This window comes from Homo sapiens, chromosome 10 (genome assembly GCF_000001405.40).
Source record: "Homo sapiens chromosome 10, GRCh38.p14 Primary Assembly".
In the NCBI taxonomy this organism is placed as follows: Eukaryota; Metazoa; Chordata; class Mammalia; order Primates; family Hominidae; genus Homo; species Homo sapiens.
The window spans coordinates 82,037,564-82,063,974 of NC_000010.11; the positions used below are offsets into that span (position 1 = coordinate 82,037,564).

At 37.9% G+C, this 26,411-nt stretch overlaps 1 protein-coding gene and 1 long non-coding RNA gene across 25 annotated transcripts in view; both read left to right on the forward strand.

Annotated features, from left to right (window-relative positions):
- The window catches only part of LOC124902472 (uncharacterized), a 31,126-nt gene extending 13,634 nt beyond the window's left edge, over positions 1–17,492 (forward strand). The window contains exon 2 of the long non-coding RNA XR_007062219.1: positions 40–17,492. This is a non-coding gene — a long non-coding RNA (uncharacterized LOC124902472). The remainder of the gene's footprint in view (positions 1–39) is intronic.
- NRG3 (neuregulin 3) overlaps positions 1–26,411 on the forward strand; it is a 1,111,986-nt gene that overhangs the window by 162,370 nt on the left and 923,205 nt on the right. The window lies entirely within an intron of this gene.

Below are 26,411 nucleotides of genomic sequence, written 5' to 3' on the forward strand. Positions count from 1 at the left end.
ATCGATTTTTTTCTAATAAACTCATGGTCTTTTAAACAGGTCTAACAGCATTGGCAGGATCTCATATGAATGAGCACAGTACTAGAAGACATCACGATGAGGCCTTATTCCAACTTCAGGTTGCAGTGTGTTTTCAACATGGCACTTAAACTTGGTGAACCTCAGTTTTCTCTTATTTTAATTACAATATTCATGGCATCTGCCTCACACGGGCTTTCCAGGGTTGTTTTGAGAACTAAGGGGAAAACTGTGTGTTCAAGAATTTGGCAAACTGGGGACATAGTGTGTGTATGCCATGTTTATGAATACTCCTAAGTAAGTCAACTTCGTAAGGGTTGGGTCTCTGTGGCATACAGAAGGTGCTCATGAATGCCTCAAAAGTCGTGGAAAGGAATCTTAGTGTGGGGAGGGGGGAGAGAGAGAGAGAGAGCAAAAAAAGAAGAAAGAATTCAAATCTCGGAAAACCCAAATATGCTTTTGAAATTAGTAATCTACACCCAGTAAAAATCTTAAAATCTTGCTTTTGTTCATTATGGGATACCCAAGAGATTTAATCTTTCACTAATTGTTTAAAAATCTTTTATAAACTGAAAGCACACCCAACATTAAGAGTTCTGAGCATTCTGAATTACTTACATTTGTAAAATTCCTTTTGAAAAATGTAAACCAAGCTTATTTCATAATGGTTTCTTCAAATCACTTTTTCCTATTGTAGTGTCCTTTACTGTCTATACACGGGATCACATGTTAATAGTACCAACTGTCCTGAGCCCTTTCCAAACACCAGGCTGTATCTAACCCTTTATCATAAGATGTCTCATTGACTTCTCATTGCAACCCTAAGATGGTCATTTTTACCATTTTACCCACTTTGCAGTTGAAGCTGGTTGGAGCAGTTACATAACTCAAGAAAAGGGGCAATGCTCATAAGTAAGAAGATGAGGACTCAATTTCAGACTACTAGAAGTCACAACCCATGAGTTTTGTTTTGTTTTTTCTTCAAAGAGCCATTCAAGACTCCATTTGCCAAGCCTAGACATGGCTTTTATGGAGTGAATTTGATCTTTATTAATAGCTGGAGGCACTGCATAAAAGGAACTTCTGGCCAGAGCCTAGTGGTAGTTAATCCCAGTGACCCAGCCTCATTCATTCATCTGTTTGCTTCTGGGACTACCACCTGAACATTTGTTTTGTCTTGGCTTCTTCCCTGCAGCTTGATACTTCACATGTGTCTCTGTTCTGTCTCTCCCAGTTCATCAAACTGGTTTCTGTCATCCTCTTTTCCATGTTTGACTTCTTGAGCACTCCACTTGTCCTCCCTGATCAACACTAGCCTAGTGAGGAAGAGAGAGGCCATGTATTCTATTTTCAGGTTGTTTTATGAAGCAGTTAGGCCCCACTGAGCTCAGAGGAGTGTGCTAAGGAAGTCTATGGAAACAATGCACAGTTGTATAATTTTGTTTTGAAATGTGTTCTGATAATACTTTTTCAGGCATCAAAGTTGCCTAATCCCTAAAAATATACAGGTGTATTATATAAAGAGGATAAGATATTATGCAGCTTAAACTCCTGGAAAAGTTCTCATTAGTTATATTTTACAACCAAGTTCCAATGCGAAGCAGCCTGTTTGTGAGTGATGATTAGCGCTGCCAATGCCCCAGCAGTAGCAGGAAAGAATGTCATGAAATGATCCAACTTCCATTAGAAAATAATGACTGTCTTGGCTGAGCAACATTTTTTAAATTAAATACCAACAATTCCTAGTAATCAGAGAGCCTATTAGCCATGAAATTCGATTTCAGTATCAGAGACTATTCACTTACCAAATGGGAGCCAAATAATTGTGAGTGGAATTTACAGTGCCGCATTGGGGATAGTAGTAAATATTATGGAAGTGGCACTAGGGTATAGCTTCAGCTCTGGGGAAATGTGGCATTTTAAAATTTCAGTAGCAAGTTAGTGTGATGATTAACAGAATGCAGTCATTAATTTCCAAGGCATGATATTTTCTCTTTAGTCATTTGAGAACCCAAGGTCTTACAGTGAACTCGTCATTAATTGCTACTTAGCTTCACTGGGCTTTTCCAAATGTCCATCAGCTCCCTTGAGATAAAATCAGGAATCTTTGCATTAGAATTAGCCTTAATTTATGGAGGGAGGTGTTCTTGATCCCAGGAGTGATCTTTAGGAAGACTGGAAAATAAGTTTATCATTTCTGCCAGCTCAGGTCTAAGTATTCTCTCTTCTTTTCACATGGTCTCTCCTGACGCATCACTGCCCAGGTCACCTCTTCAATCCTTCCTCATTCTTTGCAATCCCTGTTCAGGGATATGGGAAGAAAGTATTCACTATCTACTTCTGCCATGAATTGTGTCAAGTAACCCAGACACAAATAGTGGAAGTATATTATTAAGCAGGCCCATGTAGATTAAATACTGCTCCACAGCACAAAGTTAATAAGGGTTAAGAAGGAGGATTCATACCTAGGTCTATCCTCAGAACACTTGTTCTTTACATTATTGCACTATGGAAATAAAAGTTGATAAAATTTTAGGTGAATACATTGCTCTGCCATTTTCTAATTTCGTTTTAATACATTTTGAAGGAAACTTAAGCTTGGAAATTAATGTTTTCCACATGCAGCACTAAATTCCACCACCGTCTTTCAACAGTACAAATCCAATGGAGGAACTTTCAGTATTTTTCAAACATATATATACATCCATGCATATGTATACATGTATAGTATACACAAATATACCCATATGTATACACATGCACACACAAACACAGACATATATACATATATATACACTTATATACATATATGTTATATATACAATATATATGTAATATGTAATCTTTCATAATATCTTTCTTTTTTATCCATGAGGACTGAACTTTGCCTAACTGAAAAATCTCTCTCTTGGCACCCATATATGTGTCTCTACAAACTTGTTGGCAAACTGTATACTGGCACATGCATTCTACAAGACCACCAGGCTCAAAAGCAGAACATTTGGCGGATAGAAACTGCAGTGGCAGGCTTTCTAAAGAATAAGGCAGGAGAAGAACCCCACAGAGATGCATGGAGAAGATAAAACAATTTGTCTGTTGTCACACCCTAGGAAGGGTCAAGCCAGGCATTCAATCCATACTTAGCTGGTCCCAAAGTCCATATTCTGTCCACTACATTAACCTGCTGCTGTCAGAAAAAGAAAATGACAGATTTATAGTTCTCCTCTCCCTGCCCCAGTATATGTCAGCATTTTTAGGTATATTTGAACAAAAACTGAAGTTCATGCATGTCAATTGTTCTTCTAAAAGCCTTCTTAGTGGAAACATAGGGAAACATGGCCTTTAGACATGCCCAAAGTGAACACATTTGTTAGAAAACTCAGTGTTATGATGTATCATTTAGAGTTAACAGGTAAAACATTGCATATCAGCTGATTTTAGGAAGGACCAAATGCCATGCATATTTCTGCCATGAGTGCTTTTTACTTGCCATAGTGGGCCATAAGTAATTAAACTATGTCATTCGCATTTGAAAATACCATGACTACAGGCCTTACAAATAGTCTCCTTCCTAAGTTCTGTGGCTGTTAGAATCTGGGAATTGACATTGTTTCTTTTTTTGTAAGGAGTCCTTATGGCTTTCAGATCCCTTACTGGAATTCTTGCCACAAGAGGGATACTGAGCAGTGAAGGTTTACAAGTCTCCCTTGCGCTTGTGCATATGGATTAACTTCACTCTTTTAATACCTTACTTCTCCATCAGTTCTAGAGCCCACTGTGAGCTGAGGTGAAGGCACATTTTCCCTCCCAACAGGAAAGTGACCAATATTATATTTACTTCCTGGGGCAAATGGCTTTCTGTCAGCTTTACTTGTAAATCTGCCTCATTCTACTGGATCTATCTCTAAACCTAATTGCTTGCATACTGCCCAAAGCCACCTTTGGGAGCTATTTGTGAAGACTTTGTCTCATTTGTAAGCTACAAAGTCTCCAAAACACATATTTTCCCTCATAATCAGAGGTTGTTTTTGCTTTGGTCAGGAACAACATTCCTCAAAATATCTGTAGGGGGCTAATAAGTCACAAAGTGTTCCTGAGTAGACCAGGAGGTGTATGACAAAGATCTATGTCTTTCTCCCTCCTTCTATCCTTCTCTCTCCCTTCACCCTTCCTTCCTTCTTTCCTTCTTTTCTTCCTTTTTGCCATATGAAAGAAGAATGGTCTACTGATCTCTCTCTCTCTCTCTCTGTCTATTTCATTAAATGGCATTGCATTGCAATCTTCCCAACAACCAAAGTCAGAGTTGAAGATCATTCAGTCCAATCTCCTTATTTTACAGTTAAAAAACAAAAACACAAAACACAAAACTACCCCAGATGGGCGAAATGACTTGATCAAGTCACATAGTATTGGGCCTAGGGCCTGAACCCAGATTCTTTGAGTCCAAGTACAGTTTACTTTTAGGTAGTTAGAGATATAAAGTGGCCACTGAGATACAGTGCAATAGAGGATTTCCGGCTTTTTCCCCATCCAAAATAATCTCAGTCAAAGACAGTTTGAGGGAATATACTGATTTTGAACACGAAACCAAAATTATAGAGAACAGAATTTTTTTAAAAAAATTTGAGTATATTTAATTTATTGAAAAATTTAAATTGGATATTATTTGTTTTTGTTGCTTTTATTTCCAATGGCGATGGCATTTGGAACTGAAATTTAAAATGTAGGATTAGGAAGTAGCTTTCACATTTATCTTTATTTTTTGCAAATACCTATGCATATACATAGATTTTCAACTATGTTTTCATAGGATTTAATGGAAATTGTCAAAAATGTCTCAAGATAGTTATGATTTTTAAATGTTATGTTTAGAATTACTGATCAATTTATGATCAAAACTGCAAACAGTAATTGTAAATATTTTGAAGTTGGTGCTACTGTATTTTTCCCCACTATTTGCTACTCTGATTCTTAAATTTAATGGACTCATGTTGAAGACAAAGTATTTACAGTTATAAACACATAATACATTTAGAATTGTCAATGGAAGCTTGACTTTTTCTCACAGGATGGTTCATTGTGGTTAAGACTTCATTAGCATCAGTAATGTGTAGGAAACTTAACCTCTCATTTTCAAATGAAAAGTGTTCAGAATTTTTCAACTATTAGGCTGTTTGAGTTATCTGTGCTAGACATTTCTTGTGATATTTTTGTCATTTAGTTTTTATCTGTTTTTAATATCAAGGGAAAGTGAATGCTAGGTCAACGTATTTTGAATAAAATTATAGACAAAACCTTTTGAGTAATAATTATGTAGTAGGATGCAAACTGACACATAATGGCAACATTCGCAAAACATTTTATTAGAGATTTTTTCCTAAGAGGACATGAAATTTTGGCATTATTTTTATTCTGCTATATTTGTCATTAGATATGTAGACAGTTTCATGCCTGCTCATTTAAAATGTATGAGAATCTGTAGCAGTGTCACTGGTCCCTGGGAAATAAATGATGTCATTAAAATAACATTAGGACTTTGAGCTTCTTAAACCCAGAATTATTATCTTTAAGTGAGGACAGCTGCATGGCAGAAAATGTTGATGAGTCTCTTAGTGCTTAATTCAAGTGTTGTGTGATGGTTTTCCTGTACAAATCTACACTATATTGATAGTACCTGAGAGGGAAGAAAACAAATAAGCAAGTTCAAGCTTATGAACTACTACATTTCTCCACACTTAAGTGTGTCTTATTTCTTACCTCAATCAAATATTAGTTGGCTCAGAATAAAACTTTTTTTTAAAAAAAGCTAAAATTATCTCTTTGCTTTGCTTGTTCTTGTGGTACTACTGTTTCAAAAAGTCATTATTTAGTGATAAATATATTTGTGTTCAGGGCTGTTATTTTAAGTTAGAAGAGTAGAATATGTAGTTCTTTTTATCAAATAATCCCAGTCCTTAACTTCTTAATTTTGATCAATTTCTGTTTGGGTAGTGAATATATTTGGAGTATTTTTGCACACTGGAGAATCATCCTGTCACCTCCACACATGGAATAACATAGGTAGGTATAACACTCTGGTCCATTTCTGGGCAGTTGCTTTGCTTTATATTATATATTTTTGATGATCTAATGCTTGTAATACAGTAAGTCCTCACTTAACATAGTTAATAGGATCTTGGAAACTGCAACTTTAAGTCATACCACAAAATTGGTTTTGACATATAACAAAACCAGTTTTACCATAAGCTAATTGATATAAACAACAGTTAAGTTCCTGCTGCATATTTCTGGTGTACAAAACATCACCAAACTTCTAAATAAATACCAAAGCTCTTCTAATATTAAACATTGAAGTAAAGTGTTATCTGTATATACATTTAAGATAGACTAATAAAAACAAGTAAGGTAATTGTTTATTTCATTTTTGGTGAATGAGTGAGCGACAGTGATTGTTTGTATTGGTGGTGAGTTTAATCCAGGAATGAAGGTTTGCAAAGTGAAAATTGTCAGGGACGCTTCCTACCACCACACAGTTAACAATTACAAATATGGTGAGCTAACCGAGAGCTTCTGTACCACATAAGTTTATTGTTGAGCATGTGTATGATTATCATATACTTTATGAAGTTTTGCTTTACAATAATTTGTATTTATTAATTCACTTTCCAACTCTCTCACTGTAGTTCAGGGTTGCAGGTGGCCAGATCCTATTTCAGGAGCTCATGGGGCAAGGCAGCACCTAACCGTGGACAGGATACCCTTCCATCATAGGGCACACTCACCCACATACCCACACTCACTCAGGCTGGAACAATGTAGACATGCCAACAAAACTAACATGCACATCTAAGGGATGTGAGAGAAAACAAGAATATCCAGAGAAAAACCATGCAGACATGGAGAGAACATGCCAACACCACATAGACAGCGACCCCAGCTGGAAATCAGTGTTTTTCCCCCATTAACATCATAACGAAATAATTTTTTTTAATTTTTATTTTATTATTATTATACTTTAAGTTTTAGGGTACATGTGCACAATGTGCAGGTTAGTTACATATGTATACATGTGCCATGCTGGTGTGCTGCACCTATTAACTCTTCATTTAGCATTAGGTATATCTCCTAATGCTATCCCTCCCTGCTCTCCCCACCCCACAGAGTGTGATGTTCCCCTTCCTGTGTCCATGTGTTCTCATTGTTCAACTCCCACCTATGAGTGAGAACATGAAGTGTTTGGTTTTTTGTCCTTGCGATAGTTTACTGAGAATGATGATTTCCAATTTCATCCATGTCCCTACAAAGGATATGAACTCATCATTTTTTATGGCTGCATAATATTCCATGGTGTACATGTGCCACATTTTCTTAATCAAGTCTATCATTGTTGGACATTTGGGTTGGTTCCAAGTCTTTGCTATTGTGAATAGTGCCTCAATAAACATACGTGTGCATGTGTCTTTATAGCAGCAAGATTTATAGTCCTTTGGGTATATACCCAGTAATGGGATGGCTGGGTCAAATGGTATTTCTAGTTCTAGATCCCTGAGGAATCGCCACACTGACTTCCACAATGGTTGAACTAGTTTACAGTCCCACCAACAGTGTAAAAGTGTTCCTATTTCTCCACATCCTCTCCAGCACCTGTTGTTTCCTGACTTTTTAATGATCACCATTCTAACTGGTGTGAGATGGTATATCACTGTGGTTTTGATTTGCATTTCTCTGATGGCCAGTGATGATGAGCATTTTTTCATGTGTCTTTTGGCTGCATAAATGTCTTCTTTTGAGAAGTGTCTGTTCATATCCTTCGCCCACTTTTTGATGGGGTTGTTTGTTTTTTTCTTGTAAATTTGTTTGAGTTCTTTGTAGATTCTGGATATTAGCCCTTTGTCAGATGAGTAGGTTGTGAGAATTTTCTCCCATTTTGTAGGTTGCCTGTTCACTCTGTTGGTAGTTTCTTTTGCTGTGCAGAAGCTCTTTAGTTTAATTAGATCCCATTTGTCAATTATGGCTTTTGTTGCCATTGCTTTTGGTGTTTTAGACATGAAGTCCTTGCCCATGCCTATGTCCTGAATGGTAATGCCTAGGTTTTCTTCTAGGGTTTTTATGGTTTTAGGTCTAATGTTTAAGTCTTTATTCCATCTTGAATTAATTTTTGTATAAGGTGTAAAGAAGAGATCCAGTTTCAGCTTTCTACATATGGCTAGCCAGTTTTCCCAGCACCATTTATTAAATAGGGAATCCTTTCCCCATTTCTTGTTTTTGTCAGGTTTGTCAAAGATCAGATGGTTGTAGATATGCGGTGTTATTTCTAAGGGCTCTGTTCTGTTCCATTGATTTATATCTCTGTTTTGGTACCAGTACCATGCTGTTTTGGTTACTGTAGTCTTGTAGTATAGTTTGAAGTCAGGTAGCGTGATGCCTCCAGGTTTGTTCTTTTGGCTTAGGATTGACTTGGCAATGTGGGCTCTTTTTTGGTTCCATATGAACTTTAAAGTAGTTTTTTCCAATTCTGTGAAGAAAGTCATTGGTAGCTTTATGGGGATGGCATTGAATCTATAAATTACCTTGGGCAGCATGGCCATTTTCATGATATTGATTCTTCTTACCCATGAGCATGGAATGTTCTTCCATTTCTTTGTATCCTCTTTTATTTCCTTGAGCAGTGGTTTGTAGTTCTCCTTGAAGAGGTCCTTCATGTCCCTTGTAAATTGGATTCCTAGGTATTATATTCTCTTTGAAGCAATTGTGAATGGGAGTTCACTCATGATTTGGCTCTCTATTTGTCTGTTATTGGTGTGTAAGAATGCTTGTGATTTTTGTACATTGATTTTGTATCCTGAGACTTTGCTGAAGTTGCTTATCAGCTTAAGGAGATTTTGGGCTGAGACGATGGGGTTTTCTATATATACAATCATGTCATCTGCAAACAGGGACAATTTGACGTCCTCTTTTCCTAATTGAATACCCTTTATTTCCTTCTTCTGCCTAATTTCCCTGGCCAGAACTTCCAACACTATGTTGAATAGGAGTGGTGAGGGAGGGCATCCCTGTCTTGTGCCAGTTTTCAAAGGGAATGCTTCCAGTTTTTGCCCATTCAGTATGATATTGGCTGTGGGTTTGTCATAGATAGCTCTTATTATTTTGAGATATGTCCCATCAATACCTAATTTATTGAGAGTTTTTAGCATGAAGCGTTGTTGAATTTTGTCAAAGGCCTTTTCTGCATCTATTGAGATAATCATGTGGTTTTTGTCTTTGGTTCTGTTTATATGCTGGATTACATTTATCGATTTGTGTATATTGAACCAGCCTTGCATCCCAGGGATGAAGCCCACTTGATCATAGTGGATAAGCTTTTTGATGTGCTGCTGGATTCGGTTTGTCAGTATTTTACTGAGGATTTTTGCATCAATGTTCATCAAGGATATTGGTCTAAAATTCTCTTTCTTGGTTGTGTCTCTGCCAGGCTTTGGTATCAGGATGATGCTGGCCTCATAAAATGAGTTAGGGAGGATTCCCTCTTTTTCTATTGATTGGAATAGTTTCAGAAGGAATGTTACCAGTTCCTCCTTGTACCTCTGGTAGAATTCGGCTGTGAATCCATCTGGTCCTGGACTCCTTTTGGTTGGTAAGCTATTGATTATTGCCACAATTTCAGAGAACGCCACAAAGATACTCCTCGAGAAGAGCAACTCCAAGACACATGATTGTCAGATTCACCAAAGTTGAAATGAAGGAGAAAATGTTAAGGGCAGCCAGAGAGAAAGGTCGGGTTACCCACAAAGGGAAGCCCATCAGACTAACAGCGGATCTCTAGGCAGAACCTCTACAAGCCAGAAGAGAGTGGGGGACAATATTCAACATTCTTAAAGGAAAGAATTTTCAACCCAGAATTTCATATCCAGCCAAACTAAGCTTCATAAGCGAAGGAGAAATAAAATACTTTACAGACAAGCAAATGTTGAGAGATTTTGTCACCACCAGGCCTGCCCTAAAAGAGCTCCTGAAGGAAGCACTAATCATGGAAAGGAACAACCAGTACCAGCTGCCGCAAAATCATGCCAAAATGTAAAGACCATCGAGACTAGGAAGAAACTGCATCAACTAATGAGCAAAACAACCAGCTAACATCATAATGACAGGTTCAAATTCACACATAACAATATTAACTTTAAATGTAAATGGACTAAATGCTCCAATTAAAAGACACAGACTGGCAAATTGGATAGAGTCAATACCCATCAGTGTGCTATATTCAGGAAACCCATCTCACATGCAGAGACGCACATAGGCTCAAAATAAAAGGATGGAGGAAGATCTACCAAGCAAATGGAAAACAAAAAAAGGCAGGGGTTGCAATCCTCATCTCTGATAAAACAGAGTTTAAACCAACAAAGATCAAAAGAGACAAAGAAGGCCATTACATAATGGTAAAGGGATCAATTAAACAAGAAGAGCTAACTATCCTGAATATATATGCACCCAATACAGGAGCACCCAGTTTCATAAAGCAAGTCCTGAGTGACCTACAAAGAGACTTAGACTCCCACACAATAATAATGGGAGACTTTAACACCCCACTGTCAACATTAGACAGATCAACGAGACAGAAAGTTAACAAGGATACCCAGGAATTGAGCTCAGCTCTGCACCAAGAGGACCTAATAGACATCTACAGAACTCTCCACCCCAAATCAACAGAATATACATTTTTTTCAGCACCACACCACACCTATTCCAAAATTGACCACATAGTTGGAAGTAAAGCTCTCCTCAGCAAACGTAAAAGAACAGAAATTATAACAAACTGTCTCTCAGACCACAGTGCAATCAAACTAGAACTCAGGATTAAGAGACTCACTCAAAACCGCACAACTACGTGGAAACTGAACAACCTGCTCCTGAATGACTACTGGGTACATAACGAAATGAAGGCAGAAATAAAGATGTTCTTTGAAACCAACGAGAACGAAGACACAACATACCAGAATCTCTGGGACACATTCAAAGCAGTGTGTAGAGGGAAATTTATAGCACTAAATGCCCACAAGAGAAAGCAGGAAAGATCCAAAACTGACACCCTAACATCACAATTAAAATAATTAGAAAAGCAAGAGCGAACACATTCAAAAGCTAGCAGAAGGCAAGAAATAACTAAAATCAGAGCAGAACTGAAGGAAATAGAGACACAAAAAACCCTTCAAAAAATTAATGAATCCAGGAGCTGGTTTTTTGAAAGGATCAACAAAATTGATAGACCGCTAGCAAGACTAATAAAGAAAAAAAGAGAGAAGAATCAAATAGATGCAATAAAAAATGATAAAGGGGATATCACCAGCGATCCCACAGAAATACAAACTACCAACAGAGAATACTACAAACAACTACACAAATAAACTAGAAAATCTAGAAGAAATGGATAAATTCCTCGACACATACACCCTCCCAGGACTAAACCAGGAAGAAGTTGAATCTCTGAATAGACCACTATAACAAAATAATGTTATTCAAAGTTCATCTGACATGCTTTTTCATTTATTCTTCGTACGGTATAGGAAGAATAAGTATATGCTTTTTATGATATACTTAGGTCTTTTCTCAGGTTAGGAAACTCTTCTTCAAGTAAGGCTTTGATAATTGTTTCACTGCAAAGATTGCTGCCTTATTTTTTAGATTTGGATGTCTGTTGTCTGCATTCAACATCAATCATAAGAGGACCCTTCATCATTTTCACCTTGTGTGTTTTAGATAGCTCAAGTAGTTTCTATATAACACTCCTCATATATTGCTTTGGATACATTCTGTTTCTTAATGTTTCCAATGGGTGTTATTTTTTCTGCTGTTGCAGTTAGAGCTTCCTTAAATCCTACTTCTTTACATTTAAAAAACAATTATAAGGGGGCTGCCAAGTAACTTTCCAAAATTTTCTCTTAGCTCCTATTGAAAGCTATTTTCAAAGATAACTGTTCCCCAAGACTTTATGTTGTTTCTGCTTTTTCTTTTCTTTCCAGAGTTTTTGGATTTTTATGTGAGATTTTTGTGTACATTTAGATTGCAGTGAGAAAAGCCCATTCCAAACCCCATGTTTTTCAAAAGAGAGGGTCTATGGAGAACCCTTGGGCACTCTCTGCATCCAATTGGATGCTGGTCAAATTTCTGTCTCATATCAATAGCTGCAATAGATGGATATGAGTAGCCCAGAGCTCAGTTTAAAAGCACCAAGCTGACATTCATCTCGTGTGACCCTGCTGGTTTGAGATGAACCCATAAAATCCATAAAATTAAAAATCTCAATAATCATAGCCCCTAGGAATCTAAGAATTGTTTATTTCCTGTTGTGCCTATAGTGTTGAATTTGCAGGAATGACTTATTGTAGAACAGAATATGTTTCATTTTCTGTACCATCCCCTATTATCCACCCCACACACTCACCAGCAACATATGGTCTTCCTTTCCAGTGTTTTCTCTGAAACTTCAGTTCTGAACAGATATGCTAAGATGGATAAGCAGTGATGGGGCTGAAGGAGAGCGATGCTTTAACTGCACTTTGTGTTCAAGGAGTGGAATATTCAGACATGTTAGACTGAGTATTAAATGTTCACCAAGTCACTTCAACCTCATCCTTCATTTTTAATTTTCTTCATACATTACTGTCAGAAATTATTCTGTTTAATTATAGATTGGTGCAAAAGTAATTGAGGTTTTTGCCATCACCTTCAATGGCAAAACCTGCAATTACTTTTGCACCCAAGTAATATTTTATTATAAACCACAGCACATAGTGCATTCTCAACAAATGTTGCTGTTGGGATGCAGGAATGGATGGATGAATAGATGAATGGGTGGCTGGCTGGCTGAATGGATTGGTGGATGGATGGGTAGTTGTTCAGGATTCTCATTGGTATGGGATTTGTGCTGTTAGTCTGTGTGTCCTGCAGACTAACGGCACAAAGAAAGATAGAAGGTCTTGCTACCTGCTCTCAGACTGGTATAACTCACATTATTTGGCAATACAGAGACTCTCAGTCTTAGTTTTTATTGGGAGTGTAAATTTTGCCTCTTTGCTATGCCTTCGTAGACATTTTGGTGGAAAGTGGTGACAGACAGTGTCACAGGCTGCCAACCAGGTACCACTTTAACCACCAAGACTCTGATAATGTCTCGTTTCCTCCTCCCATCTCTACCCCTTGCTTCCTCTCAGACTCCTCCTACTCTCTGTCTCTCCAGCCATGCCTCCACTTGCAGAATATCCTTCTCTCTACCCACCGTTCATCTTTACCCTGGTCATTTCTTTAGCCACGTCCTCATGCGTATCCAGCATTTCTATCCTGCTGTGTCAAATATAAGACACATTCTTTAACTTTAGAGGGAATTTATATTTTCTCGTCTGTAGTTTTCTGGAAATAGTGGGGAGGTTGTAGGCTGTGATCAATTTGGGAGCCATTTAATGGCAGTAAAATGGGCAAAGCAATATATCGAGAATTCTTCAAATTGATATTTATCTATTTTCATCCAGCCTTAGGTATTTTAATACAGATACAACTTTTACTACCAGCAAACTATAGTTAGTAATTGATTTTTTGCTTCCTATTTCAAAAGCTACAGATAAAAGGACATTAATTTTTAAGAGGCCACTCAATCAGAAAATGCATTCTTCACTTAGAGTGGTCAAAAGAGCAGTGGAGTGGAACTCAGGAAACCAGAGGACTAGCTCTGACTCTGCCACTTACATTGTTTGAAGCAAGGTATTTCTGTTAGGGACCTCCATGGGCCTTCACTCTAACCAACTTTTCTGTCACCTTCATGTACTAAGAGTCTCTGATCCCGTGAGGATGACGTCTACTTGCCCATCACTGCTCCTACCTGAAACCCAAATGTGCCGAAGTTTGGATCCCAGCACAGGCTCAGCATCATCATGGATGATCAGCTCATAGTCCTAGAACTGGCTGTGGAGACTTTTCTGAATATGAACATTGTTTTTAAATCAGTGTTAGTAAACATGGACTCAATATTTACTTGAAAAGAATTATTTCAGTTACAGATTGATGTAGTTCATTTTAACCACCTTGTGTATGAAGGATGAAAAATGAGTGATCTAGTTTTGAAGTAACTACAAAAATTGTGTTTGTATCAACTGTCCTGTTTATTTTTGCTTGTCATAATGAGAGGACATCATTATTAAATCTAAATTATCTCCACCACAGTGTCACTAAATATGATCAGTCAACTATCTCTGCTTCCTTTACTTGAGATCTGTTGAACTAAGGTCAAACTGAGCTCAAGCTTCTCATCCAGATTATGGCAATACACACCTTTCCCCACCAATTGTTCTTTAAAGCATTGTGAGTTGGCTTAGCAATGTCTTCTTCCATCTAAAGGTGGGTCACAGCACTGGCAAATGTATAATGTTGGACTATTGCTGGGAGCCACATACCGCATTAGATTTTTTTTTTTTTTTGGTACGCTAACAGCTCCTCATTTTCTGGCAATGTATGACAGGCAGAACTGTAATAGTTATCCTCATAAGCAATGTGCAAGTTAGATAATTGCAATACTAAACACAATGAATATTCAGTTTGTTTAGGGGCACTGCAGTGAAAAAAAGAAATGCATGTAGTTGTGATCTACCTGTCTCACCAAAACTCACATTTAGTCTTTCCTAAAAATACCTGAACTTCATTAACATCAACTTCACCAGTACTCTTTCAGATGACTGCATATTGAATTAGGCTGAAGGGAAGGGGAACAGTAGCCCATGGGGTCATATCAGACTTGTAATTCTGCTCTTTCCAAAAGACTTACAGTGACAGCCAACCACATTCCAAGAACTGCACTGGTCACCAGAGATGCAGGAGGAATGGGCCATCATTTCTGTGCCCAAGGAGCTCACACAGACTGTAATTACCTCTGGGAATCTCAAAGACCAAAGCAATGTGAAATTTTGTCCACATTGTTCTCAATAGTGACTGAGCTATTCTATATTTGTTCCCTGATCTGTTTTAAGAATGAAAATATAGAGAAATTAGAGTTCAGGTGAGAAGAGTTAAAGTGATTAAGAGGATGGTGAACTCTTCTAACAAGAAACTAATAGCGTGTAGCTTAGTTCAACAGTGGTAAGTGGAGCTCATGATAATGATATATAAATGTTTGAAAAATATAAACAAGAAGGGGCAACATTGTTTAGTATTATTCAATTACAAGTGATTAATAGCAATGCAAAGTAATTATGAAAGGGAAATTAAAAATGGACATAAGGAAAAAAAGTTTTCTTTTGGTCTTGTTTCCTAAAAGAAAATATAGGGCTACATTATAGGAAAGCATTTGCAACTACACAAGAAAATATGAAACAAGCAAGCTAAGAGCAAGTAATTTACCAATGGTAGACTAATTATTTTATTAATTCATTATTAATAAAATTTATTAATTCATTTATCAAATGTTTTTATTCATTCATTTATCAAATTAATTATTCATCAAATGTTTTAGGTTACTCACCTATTTAACATTTTCTTTGCTCCCATGTATTCATGTATTTCATTTGATTATTTTTTTTTTTAACATTTCAGTGTTCCAAAAATTGGGAGACATAGGCAGTAATATATTTTTTAGGAAAATACTGGTGGTTGTAATAAATAATCTGATATTTCAGTAGTCCAACACATTAAAAGTTTGGTTCTCATTCATATAAAGTCCAAATCAAGTGTTTATTAAAGGCAGAAGGATGAGGGTTGGATTGTGGGAGTCGATGGTTGGAGGGGCCCAGATCCATGTAATCATTCAGAGATCCGGGCTGAGGAAGATCCATAAATTCACTGTGATCTCCACAGCCAGCTGGAAGATAAGAGCAGAAAGAGACTGAGGAAGAAGTAACTCCTCCTTACACACTCGGTTCCAGAAGACACTCAGATCAGTTTCACCTATATTCCATTGTTGAGAATTCATGGAATGACATTGCTTGGATGCACTGGGCATTGGGAAATGTGGCTTCTTTCCTAGCATCATCTCTACAACTTTCAGGAGAGCATGAGTTTTTAATGGACAAACAGGTGAATAAAACACACTCAAATTCCTGGCCTCTTGGAAAATACATTTTAGTTGGAGGAAACTGATAGTAATACTATAAAATCATAAGTGAAATAAACATTTTTTTTGTAAGGACATAAACATTGTGATGGTATGTAAAGCCTGGAAGAAGTGCAGGGAGTGTTGGGTGTGCAATTTTAAATGGATAGTTTGGAAGGAGCTCAGTGGAAAAGAGGTATTTGAGCAATTATTTGAATGAGGTGAGAATGTAAATCATGTGGAATGTAACGGGAAATTATTTAAAGCTGCAGCGCAGCAAATGGAAAGCTCATGGGGTGGAATCATGTCTGATATCTTTAGGGAACAGCTGGTGGCTAACCTATTAGGAGCAAAGTAAGCAAAGGTTAGAGAATGGTAGGATATGAGGTCGGAGAAGTAATAGGGTTCTAAACATACAGAGGCCTTAAGAGTGACAGTGAGAATTTTGGCTCTTACTCTGAGGTACAGGGGAAGTCATTAGAGGGTATTGTACAGAGGAGTGAAGTGATTTGATTTATGTTTTAAAAGGATTACTCTAGTTGTTGTTCTGAAAATAGACTGTGGTGCAGTAAGGCAGAAGGAGGGAGACCATTAGAAAGCTTTTTCAATAATTGAGGTGAGAAATGATGACAGCTTAGACCAGAGATATTGAGAAGTGGCTGGATTCTGGGTATATTTTGAAGGTGGAAGTGACAGGATTTGCTCATGGCTTAGTGGTAAGGTGTGATGGAGGAAAGGAGTCAAGGATGACTCGAAGACTTTGTGCATAAAAGACTAAGTGGAAGAGTAGGATTTTTATTAATTGAGATGGGGAGGACTGTACAGGATTCTCATTTAGATGTGGGTGGAGCACATAAGGGTCTTGATTTGGAATGACTTTTAGATATTTAAGTTGAGCTGACAAGTAGGCAGTTAGATATATGAATATGGTATTGGCATGGGGAATGGAGGAATAGATCCAAATATTGAGCTCCAAGGGACTCCAATATTTAGAGGCTGGAGAAGTGGGGAGGAACCAGCAAAGGGGAATGAAAACGAGTGACAAGAGAAAGAAAATCAGAAAAGTCTAGTATTGAGAAAGCCAAGGAAGAGAAGTGTTTGAATTAAGAAAGAATGAGGCTGAGCCAGGAGGATCTCTTGAGCCCACGAGTTAGAGACCAGCCTAGGAAATACAGTGACACCCCAGATCTATAAAAAAAAATAGCCAGGTGTGGTGGTGTGTGCCTGTAGTCCCAGCTACTAAGGAGGCTGAGGCAGGAGGATTGCTTGAACATGTGAAATATAACGGGAAGTTCAAGGTTACAGTGAGCTAGATCATACCAGCACACTCTAGCCTGGGTGACAGCACAAGACTCTGTCTCTCTTAAAACAAATCAAAGAAAGAAAGAAAGGAAAGAAGGGAAAAGAAGAAAGAAAAGAAAGGAAAAGAACAGAAAAGAAAAGCAAAAAGGAAGGAAAAAAGAGCCACAGTCTCAGCTGCTGCTGACAGGTCAAATAAAATGAAATAGAGAGGTCATTGGTGATCTTGATGAAAAAAGAAAAAAGAAGCCGAGCGCGGTGGCTCACTCCTGTAATCCCAGCACTTTGGGAGGCCGAGGCGAGCAGATCGAGGTCAGGAGATCGAGACAATCCTGGCTAACACAGTGAAAACCCATCTCTACTAAAAATACAAAAAAAATAGCCAGGCATGGTGACAGGCGCCTGTAATCTCAGCTACTCGGGAGGCTGAGGCAGGAGAATGGCCTGAACCCAGAAGGCAGAGTTTGCAGTGAACCAAGATTGCACCACTGCCCTCCAGCCTGGGCGACAGAGTGAGACTCCGTCTCAAAAAAAAAAAAAAAAGAACAACAACAAAAAACAGTTTTAGTGTAGTGATGAGCAAAAACTGACTGGAGTGAGGTAAAGAGAAAATGGAAAAAGGCAAATTGGTGGTAATTATTTAATTTTTTTATCTAATTGTTTTGAGGATTTTTTCTATAAAAGGAGCAAAGAGCAAAGTGATAGGGTGATAATTAGAATAGGAAGTAGACACAAGGAAGGGATTTCAAAATGGGAAAAATGACAGCACATTTGTAAAGCGATGAAAAATTTACAATGCAAGAAAGAGAAGGGGAGTTAATATGCAACAATCTTATGTCGATGAGAAGGGCTGGAACAGGCACTCTAGTGAAGGGACTGGAGATAAAGGCAGGTTTATCTGTAATGGTTCAGATTAAGGAGTGAAATGCATGGTAGGCTTGTGTGAGTTCCCTTTGAATTTCTCCTTTTGTTCTTAGGAAATAAGAAGCACAGGTCATTCAGAGGAGAAGATGTGAAATCATTCTTTAAGGGAATAGGATAGTGAATGGAAAACGGAAATCTTCCCAGGCAGTTTCGAAGACCACTTGAGGCTAATGGTCATGTGTGGAAAGCAAAATCATTCAACCTTGTGCCTTTTAAAAAATTTTGTCCCATCATAGTACCTGTGTGGGAGTGTGACTATAGCATAATGGAGAATTTTGTTTAGCGAGTTAGACATTTTTTCTTGGTCAGTACAATGGCATGAGAGATGGTTAAGGAGTTTAATACTTGAGCAAGAGAATTATTAAAACAGCATGCTGGAGATTCTAAGCTTGGTCAGGTGGGTGTGATGACTTTAAAGAGTTGAATATGGTAGTAAAATGGTGAAAGGATTAGTGTATTTGAAAAAAAAAATTAGTGTTATGCTACTGAAAGGAATGCCATAGGCTCACTCTGATAGGAATCTTTGAAGCTAAAAGGATGGAGTGGTTAGTTGTTGGTAATGAGAAGATTTAGATACAATTATAGAAGTGAGGGGCTAAAGATGATTGCAGAATAAAGCCACAGGAAATCAAAGAATGGAGAGGCTGAAGTATTGGAAGGATCGTCAAACTTGTTTAAATCTGAGAATTTTGACAGGAACAGTGTAGATGTGACACAGAGCCAGGAACTACAGTCTTACAGCTATGACATTCCATCTGGGATTTTTCAAGTATCTCATTGAAATTTTCTTTTTTAACAGTCTAGTTGGGGTTAGCTCTGAGTTTTTGTTTAAATAGAAATGTTTTTATTTTGACTGTAGCTTTCAAAGATGCTTTTCTGGCTAGAATTCCAGGTTAACAATTATGTTCTCTTAGCATTTTCGAAATATTGTTCCATTGCTTTCTGACTTTTGTGTTTGCTATTGAGAAGCCAGTAGTCTAATTATTGTTTATTGTGGATGACTTTTTTTCCCACAGCTGTTTTTTAAAACTTCTATTTATTTTTACACTGCAATTTCAGTAGGATTTATCTACGTGTAGAATTCACAACCTTCTGATTCTGATCATTGTTATCTCTCATTAATTCTGGAAAATTCCCATGAATTTTTACTCCAAATAATCATTGTCTTTATTTTCTATTAGGATTTTGCACTTTATACTGCTTGTTGGATCTTTCCACTCTATTATCCTTTCCTTAAAATATTTCTTTCCTATTTTCCATCACCCCTTATATGTGTACTTCATTTCTTGTATTTTCTTCAGATATTTTTTCAATGTACTAATTTTCCTTTAAGCCATATCTGATAGTCTTTTTAACGTTACATTTTTCATTTCTATAGAGTTATTTGGTTCTTTATCAAATACGTATGTATAATTTTGTTAGTTCTTTTTTCCTAACTCCTACTCCAATTTCTGTTATTTATTTAAACATGTTACACATGCATGATTTATAGTCTCTGTGTCATAAGTCCAATATCTGTTGTTCTTTGGTGTTTAATTCTGTGGTATGTTGGTTCTGCCTACACGTATACATGGCAGCTTATTTCCTCATTTGTATAATAATTTTTTAAATTCTTTTGATCTTTGATCCTTTGAAATTGTTGGGGTAATTTTTAGGCTACATTTAAATTGTCTTCAGAAAGGATTTCTAGGCTACTTTCAGATAACTAGAGGCCTTAGCAATCTATAACTACTTTAAATTATACTTTAAGTTTGGGTGGGGAGTGGACAAGGGTATGATAAATTTTGTTTCAAACATGAGGGCAAATTTTTGTTTAAGAATTATCAAGAGAGTTCTCCTTCTCCTTCACTGCCTCCTCTTCGTCCTTCTTCGTATCTACTTTAGGCCAAAGCTAGGACCTTCATTCTAAATGAGTTACCATGTATCAGGGATTCAAGATACTCACAGGGAGTCTTCAATCTGGCCTTCTACCTTAGTTCCTTATTTGCATGGCCGACTAAAACTCAGACTCCGGGCCACCAGTGATTGGCATATAAACTGAAGAAAACTTCCCATTCTAGTGCTTGCTTACTCATGTGGATTCTCTCTTTCTTTCCTTTCTTTTTTTTTTTTTTCTTTGTAAAGCCTTCTAAAGAATTCCCTTACTCTCCTGTGACTACAGTCGTGCATTAAAAACCGATTATTTGATATGTTATATTATTAATTGTGCTAAATGGGAAATAAGGGGTGTCATGTTCTGGTAACATTTACTCAAACTTTTATATATACAAGTCTCATTGGGTGCTTCATCTTTGTGTTTTCTCTTTTTTCCAGGGCTCTATGTATATTAAGGATAGCAATTCTAGGCCATACATAGCAAGTTATTTTTTTCCCTAGTTTGTTATATCTAGTTTTAACTTTGATAAAAGTGCTGTGTTTTTCTTCTTAAGACCTTTTAAGTTTTTATATAGTCAAATATATTGATCTTTCCTTTTAAGTTCTCTGCATTTGATTCCATGCTTAGAAAATTGTCTCCGTCGATACCATAAAATTATTTTTTAATCTGATATTTCTTCTAGTTCTTCCTAGAATTAATATTTTCAACGACCCGTTTCATCTGTAGAATATAAATGACTCCTTTTATGTGGTGCAGAATGCTTTTATGTATAGGTATGCCTTCAACTTTCTATTATATTCTATCTATATAATATATATTTATAAATATACTTTTTCTAGAAAAAATTAGCTTAATTTAGGTCATATTGAGTAGTTCCATCACAAGTTTTTTTATTTTGATTTTTTTCCCTTCTCCTTCCTTTAGTCATCTCACAAGTTTTTGGTGTTTTTTCCTAAGGAAACATGGAAGGTCATTCTACTTTGCCTCAGGCCTTGAGAACAAAAATGAAAAAGTTGGACACATCAAAACCCTAAATCTAGGCACTACAGACAACTGAAGAGGCAGTTCTTATTTAGGGTGATATATTCTTTAATAGAAGATACTCTGCTTGCCATGGGAACGTATATAGGAGGTGCGTCTGACCTGGACAATACAATCAGGAAAAGCTTCCTGGCAGGGGTGATTTGAAGTCTGTATTTCCAGTATGTGGGGAATGGTGGAGAAGGAGCAAGAAAGTCATGCCGAGGCAACATGTGGGACGTTTCCAGTGAGACAAAGCAGAATTATTTGAAAAACTAAAACAGTAGTTCAGTTGGGGAGAGGTATACATTGTGATGTGCAAATGCTGCAGAATGAAGCCGGACAGGAACAAGGGCCAAGCAATGAATTGTGGATGTTTTATTGAGAGCAATGAGATGCATTGAAAGGTTTGAAACTGTGGAATAATGTGATCAAATCTGTATTTTTTGAACAACATCTAGGCTGTAGCACTTTTTATACTGGATAGAAAATGACAAAACCCTTAGAGGGATGGGCTGATTTAGAGGATATTGCTGTAATGTAGGTGGAAAGTAACTATGGCCTAGTAAATGTGGAAGGACACAGATACACTCAGTAGATATTTCAGGGTGAATGGCCAGATTAGGTAATGACTAAGATAGCAAGGATGGGAGAAAAAGAAGAATCAAGGAGGTGACTAAGCTTTTTTCTTGAGCAACTGGTAGATTGAGTTAACATTTTCTGAAAAACGTGATAGAAGGAGGAGCTGTTTCTAGGAGGGAAATAAATAATTTGGCAGGAGACTTTTTGAACTAGATATCTATTGAATAACAAAGTGACAATGTTCCCCATCCTCTCATTTCCATTCCCAATTTTACTTCTCGTCCCAATTCAAATCATTCTTACTTATGATCGGCGCTATGTCAGTGCCTCTCAGCTGGTCTTCCCAGACCCAGTACACCTAATCAATCCATCCTACACCAGGATGGATTCTTCGCTTTCCATACTTGTGGCTTTGTTTATTCTGTCCCCTCCCCTGGGAGACCCTTCTGCCTACATATCTTAAAGCCTATCTACAAGGACACCTTCATGTCCTAGGTACCACCAGTGGCTTCTGATATGTTCCCTTGATGATCAGCCATAACATTGTATTTGAATATGTTGTAACTTAGTATAGAAATCATGGGTACTGGACACAGGCAAAACCACCTCTGCCACTTGCACGGCCCTGGACCCCAAGGAAATCAACTGCTCTAAACTTCTGTTTCCTCCTTTAAAAATGGGTGTAATAATAAAGACCTTGTTTGTTGTGAAGGATACAATTAAGATTGGCACAATATCTGACTCCCCCACACAGGAATTTCATTTCATAAATGGTAATTATTACTCATATTGTCTACAAAGCCATTTCTCACAGTCTGTTGCTATAGTAGTCACTTACGTGTCTGTATCTCCTTATATGAAGGCATGAGCATTTCCTTTATTGTCTTCACAACAATTAATAAGGACAAGCACAATGTAGGTACACAATATATGGCATGCATGAATGTTTAAATAATGAGAGTTACTAGGAGGATAGAGAATTACAGAAAAAAGACTTGCTTAAACTGAAATATTTCTTACTGTGTGCCATAAAGTGCTGAGGGGTGCTGTCTTCTACCATGAATCCTTCCAGCCTGAACTGCAATGATTTTAAATTTTTTGACAGTTCTGTTCTCCCTAAGAGTAGTAATTTTGGTGGTTATGCATAGATCAAAGATGCAATAGGGAACGTTTTAAGTGATGTTGTAAATAATGATTTCAAGAATGTGCTTTAATTTTTATTGAATATCATCTGATTAGCAATCTTGTTTTTGTTTTAGCCTTGTGAATATTTATTCTAGCATAAATGAGTACAGTAATTTCTAATGCAAATATTGTCCACCTGGGTTTCCTGATGTCTGTATGGATAATTCACCTTGTTCTTTGTTAGTGGAATTATTGGTGCCTCTCAGGTTGGAAGATGCCTGTACTGACCTACCTGTGGCCAGTAGAAGGTGGGAAGACCTGCATATTGCCTCTACTCAACCTCTTTCTCCCAGTAACTAAGAAGCCTGGACTGGGCTGGTTGGTGCGGTTCGCTCTTTCTGACTCTGGTTGTCTCATTCATGCCAGTTCGGGTGACACTTGTGAGAGGAAGGAGTTCAGTCTTTGAGGTCAGGCCTGTCTGGCTCCCAGGCCCACCACTGCCACTTCCTATGTTTGCAATCTGGAAATAGCTCCATATGTTTTTTGAACCCAAGTTGTATTGTTTTGGTTTGGTTTCAGTGTATGTAGGTATGTGATAATCTTTGGTGGCTTACGTCTGTAATGCCAGCACTTTGGGAGGCAGAGGCGGGTGGATCACGAGGTCAGGAGTTCAAGACCAGCCTAGCCAATATGGTGAAACCCTGTCTCTACTAAAAGTACAAAAATTAGCCGGGCGTGGTGGCGGGTGCCTGTAATCCCAACTACTTGGGAGGCTGAGGCAGAAGAATCCCTTCAGCTCAGGAGGCGGAGGTTGCGGTGAGCCAAGACTGCGCCACTGCTCTCCAGCCTGGGCAACAGAGCAAGATTTTCCCTCTCAAACAAAACAAAACAAAACAGAAAAACAATAATTTTAAAACAGGTAGGGTGACCCCCATTTACTCCTTGGAGATCTAGTTGAATTTATATTGTTCTTCCAATTCTCAGGTCTGCAGAATTTAAAACTCTCCCCAAGGTTTTTACAGAGTTTCCACCTTGGATGTTCTCCTGGTCCCCTCTACCTCCAGCTCCCGTGCTGTGGTCATTGCTGCCCTTCAACCCATATCCGTCATAATAAGAAACTTGGGCTTTCTACCAGTTTCCTTTTAAAAATCCACTTGCATGTGTTTGTAGAGTGAGCTCAGTGAATGCTGGGGTATCATGATGGAGTCACACTGCCTTTAGGTCTTTACTTGGATTTCTGTTTTCCCCCTCTTCTCCCATTTCTGGATTAAGCCTTCTCTCCATAACTGCTCTCTTCCCTCCTTCACCTTTTTTCTGTCTGTCTCCCTCCTTTCCTTCTGTTCTCTTCTTTCTGTCAGTGTCCCTTTCTCTCTCTCTCTCTCTCTCACACACACAAACACACACACACACACACATACATCTCTTAAAAGGATAGTGATACTTTACCAGTTGATTTACAAAAATTTAAAAGCAATTATATATAGAAATTAGTCAGTGAGCTGCATGGTGCAAATCTATATTGGTCTTTCCTTTTCTTTGCTTTTGATGACCAAAGAATAGCTATCCAAAGATAGCTTTGGGTTGCAGCTGCTGCCAGGTATCATGCAGTCTGGACATTGGGCACAATGTGTCAGCAGAACTGGGGGTGATCCAAGCAGCCCGGGAAACAAAGCCCTGCTTGTATCTCTAGAGTGTTCTTTCCCCTGAAGAGGCCCAAGGTCCCTGAGAGCTCAGCATAGCTCATTTCTTTATTATCTGCCACAGTCTTCAGTCTCCTCTGGATGCCAGAGGGGAGCAGATTGGATTTCTGGGAGAGTCAACAAATAGAAGTTCTAAGAATTAAGGCAGGCCGGGCATGGTGGCTCACACCTGTAATCCCAGCAGTTTGGGAGGCCAAGGCAGGTGGATCACCTGAGGTTAGGAGTTTGAGAGCAGCCTGGCCAACATGGTGAAACCCCATCTCTACTAAAAATACAAAAATTAGCTGTGCATGGTGGTGTGCGCCTGTAGTCCCAGCTACTCAGGAGGCTGAGGCAGGAGAATTGCTCTAACCTGGAAGGCAGAGGTTGCAGTGAGCCAAGGTCACGCTACTGCAGTCCAGCCTAGGGGCAGAGCAAGACTCCATCTCAAAAAAAAAAGAAAAAGAAAAAAAATAAGAATTAAGGGAAAGCTGGCTCCCAGGCAATGGGATGGAGCAGAATATAGGGGCATGAGATGGAGAGGCTATGCTGTCTTTCTCCCTTTTGATGATGCTACTGGGGAAAAGTATCATCATCAAAATGTGGAAGGGAAACCAAAAATGAAGGGAAGGTACTGAAGAGAAACAAAAATGTGCTGAATCCACTCTTAGGAAAATGACTGGTCTTTTTCCTTGCTGTGTATTCAGAGCATACCTACTGCTAGAGCTACTGAATCTGTGCTTCTGGAGTGGTTTGGCCATTTGCAGCTCCCTCATTTGAGGACTAATATTGCCATTCTGCTGTTCTAAGCAGCCATTATCTGCCGCCCACCCCACCAACTTGATACCCCATTAGTGTTAGGGTACATAACAGTACCTCAGCCAAGGACTTGAGTACCTCCAGGCAAGTCACTCACTCAACATTGTGGTGTCTTCTTCAGTGATAGAATGGAATACCTGGGCAATCCCAGGAGTCCCCTCCACCTCAAACAATTCAGTTCTTCTGTGGTTCTACACTTATGATTCTTTTGATGAGAGTATTCATGGCTGTTTTCTCATTTTTATGTCACTAACTATCACTGGAAATGCATTTTAGGTTTATCATCATTTTACAGTCTCAAGTTTCTGTTTTTTTTTCTTTATTTTATACCAAGACGCAAATGTGAAAAAAAAAAGGAAATAGAAGTATTACAAATATCTTAGCTTATAATAGCAGACCAAAAGTAATTGGAAGAAACATGAGATGAGAAAGTATAAACATATTTTTAACATAACTCTGCTGTTCTACTGATAAACAATTTCTGCTGCTCTATTTGTATAGAGACAATCAATATATTTTTTAGAGGCAGGAAAAGATCTTTTTTTTTTTGTCAGATGAAATGTTGCTTTCTAAGGATAGTCAATCGGTGCCCTTAATAAACCCATCAGCCCTTGTGTCTTGGTATAGCATTATTGGTAGAGGTAATTATAGAAGCTAATATTTGGTAACTAAAGAAAGAAAACTAAAGAAACTAAAGAAAGAAACTAAGCTAAAGAAAGGAACTAAAGAACTAAAGAAAGGAACTAAATAGCTGAAGAAAGAACTAAAGAACTAAAGAAAGAAAGTAAACTGGGAACTAAAGAAAGAAAAATGATGTATTCAAAGGGAGAGCAAGTCCCTCCCACCATCGTTTGATCTATCAGGTGTGATTTGCCTGCTGGCTTACATCATGGAAATTTTACTTCCATTTTTTAACAACATAGCTGGGAGAACAAAGAATCTCAAAAACGTTTTAGTTGTAGAGAGGGTTTACTGCCCTGATGAATGACTGATCTGTATT